The following is a 3,212-nucleotide window of genomic DNA, read 5'->3' as shown; positions in this document are numbered from 1 at the left end:
TTTATTGGTTGTGTGTGTGTTTTGGAAAAAAATGTTCAACTATTGAGCTGCATAACTTTTTTTGTTTTATTTGGATTTTTCTGATTTATTGAATATAATTGACAAATAGAATTTGTATATATTCAAGATGTACAATGTGATGGGTTTTTTAAAATTTGTTTTATTGCTTTTTGTTTTTGAGACAGAGTTTCTCTTTGTCTCCCAGGCTGGAGTACAGTGGCACAATCATGGCTTGCTGGAGCCTCAACCTCCCAGGCTCAAGTGATACTCCCTTGTCAGCCTCCATACTAGCTGGGACCACAGGGGTGCACAACCATGCTTGGCTAAATTCTTTTTTTTTTAATTTTTATTTTTAGTAGAGATGGGATCTTATTATGTTGCTCAAGCTGGTCTGGAACTCCTGGGCTCAAGCAATCTACTCACCTTTAACTCCCAAAGTGCTGGGATTACAAGGGTGAGCCACCATGCCCAGCATGTGATGTTTTTATATGTATACACATTTTTAAAATTTCATATTTTCCTAGATGGCTACTTTTACATTGTTCATAGATTTTTTTTTTAAACTTTTATTCAGTAGGAAACAGATTTTCTGTTTAACTGATTGAATCTTCTTTACTTCTGTTTCTTACCTACCTTTCTCCATGATGGGAACAGTGGTGAAAGGGAAGTGTTATAATATTTCATTGGTGCTCAAGGTTTGAGATGGAAAGCAACATGAGAATGACTTGCCTGTTTATTTTTTTCACGTTTCCTATTCAGAGCATAACAAAATCAAATCTTAATAGTAAGTACTTACTTTGCACCAAACAGATCAATCTTTTCCATTAGATTGTCACATGAGACATGAACTCAACTCTAATTGATTTCAAAGTCATGTGGTACAACAGCCCTTATAGAATTTTTTCTATGATAGTCTAAATCAATAGACCTAGCAGCTTAACAAAAATAATTACATCAACATATGTGCTTTCCTGACACCATTTTGTTCCTAGGTCTTAGAAACAGTCTGGTATTAGAAGAAATCCAATAAGTTAGAAGCAGAAAGATTGAGTCCAGGTAACTAAGTGCTTGCACCTCCTGGGTTCTAATAATGCTGATTCCCTCATTTTCTCAATCTTTTCACAGCTCACAGCACAGTCCATCAATCTTACAAGCAGTTCTAATAGTTCCTGGATTTGGAATTTGATGCAGAGCTTGATGCAGGCTTTGTATGAACAGATGCTTATATAAAAGCTAAAATAGGTGGGTATTAAAAGGATTAAGTGATTCAGTAGAGTATCTCAGCCAGCCATAATTCAAGACACAATAGTTCAAATCTTTCATTGCTGTTTTCTTTGATAAAATGTAGGCTTTAACCTTTTGGGAAGTCTTTTTCTACAGTGTCAGCAGCAACTCTAGACCTGTCAACTCAACAATACTTTACAACTAATGCCTTTCAGAATGTCTGAGGTAGAGAAAGGAATTGCAATAATACTGCCTAGGATTCTGTGAGATTGGAAATGTAGTAGCATACATGGGCTACTTACTTTGTTTATGAAAATAGGTGAGTTGGCAATAACATGAGGGGAAAAAAATACCTGCAGCAGAAATCCAAATTACTGAAAAGAATAAAGTTATCTTATCAGGGAATGCTAAAGACCAGTATGTGTCATGTCTGAATTAAAATTATAAACTATTCAGATGTCACTTTTGTGCTTGAGTTTCCAAAGATGAATTTTTGTTTACATCAAAAGAGTAAATAATAATTTAGTCATTAAAAGGTTGAGATTGACAGTTATGTTTATACTGGTTATTTATTCATTTTTAGGTGCAGATGTCTTCTGTTAACCTCACAGGATATGACCATCAATTAACTTCAATTTTGTCTTGTTTACTATGCAAACGTTTGAATTTCATATTTATTTTGCTCATATCAAAACATAATTTTATTGACCAAACTAAGGACATTTTCCTACAAAAGTATGTTAGCTCTAGCATTCCTTTATCATTGGAATCTAACCACACATTGTTCATTCATTCAACAGACATTTAATGAGTGCCTATTATTTGTCAGCTATTTTATTAGATACAAGTGAGAACACAGACATGGTCTCTTCTAAGAGAAGGTAGAATTCATTTAGAACTGAAAAATTAGCAAATAAAAGACATGAGCACAGATTTGAAGACAGGTGAATGGATGTTCTCTCTTTAATGGTTAGAATAAGTCGGAAAGTAGAAAGAGAAGGGAACTTAACCTGCCTATTTAAGTGAAAGAATATTTGGCCAAATATGCCTGAATTTAGTTATTGGTGGATTAATTCAAATATGTTATATGATTTGTAAGTTTCCAGAAGGGCTCCACTCTATAAGTATCTATGCTATATAATGCTTACATTTCAATTTCATATACATTTATTGGGGTTAAAATAATTTTTTTGAAACTGCAAATCCATCTAGAGGAGCAATAGATTAATATTGATAATTATTTGTCCCATAATGTAATTGTGTTGGGATTTTTCAATTACAGTCAATTGAAATAAGACTGATTTTTAATGGAAAGAAACAGACTATAACATTGCTGGGGTAATCTGACACAGTGAGTTAACCGAGAGCAGTAAAGGACAGAAAGATAGACAACATGGGGAGCTACAGTTCCATAGAGAAACTCTTCCTGCTTTTATAGTAACACTCTCACTAGTCAAGGCTATACTAACAATGTTGTGAATTGAATTTATTGTTAGATTTTATTCAAGAATAACACAGACATTGATTTTAGATCATTGCTTCTCTAAGAAATATAATGCTAGCAAAGAACCTATGTAGATATGAGAGACAGAACAGAAACATTTCTATGAGCTGATTAGCAATATTATTCTCATTGCCCAACAAAGAATAGTGTATAGTAGATATGTGACTAAGACAGGGCAGTAAGTAAATAAAAGAGAAGAAGAAACCTATTTTTCTGAGTAGTTTTCTTTAGTAATAGACTTTCTCTTCTTTCAGTTAGTTTCCTCTTTCCTTTTCCTTGTCTTTCTTCCTCCTTTTCTTCTGTACCATTTCTTTTATCTTTTTTGTTGTCATCATTGTCTCCTCTACCTCCTCCTCCTTATCCCCCATCTTCCTCATCTTTTTCATTGTCATTAACTATGAGATGATAGTCTAGGGACTCTTCAGATGCATAGTTCCTTTCAAAAATCACTGAATAATTGATTAAAGATATGTATTTAACATAG

The sequence above is a fragment of the Homo sapiens genome, chromosome 13 (genome assembly GCF_000001405.40).
Source record: "Homo sapiens chromosome 13, GRCh38.p14 Primary Assembly".
Taxonomy (NCBI): domain Eukaryota; kingdom Metazoa; phylum Chordata; class Mammalia; order Primates; family Hominidae; genus Homo; species Homo sapiens.
This window is presented reverse-complemented; position numbering follows the sequence as displayed.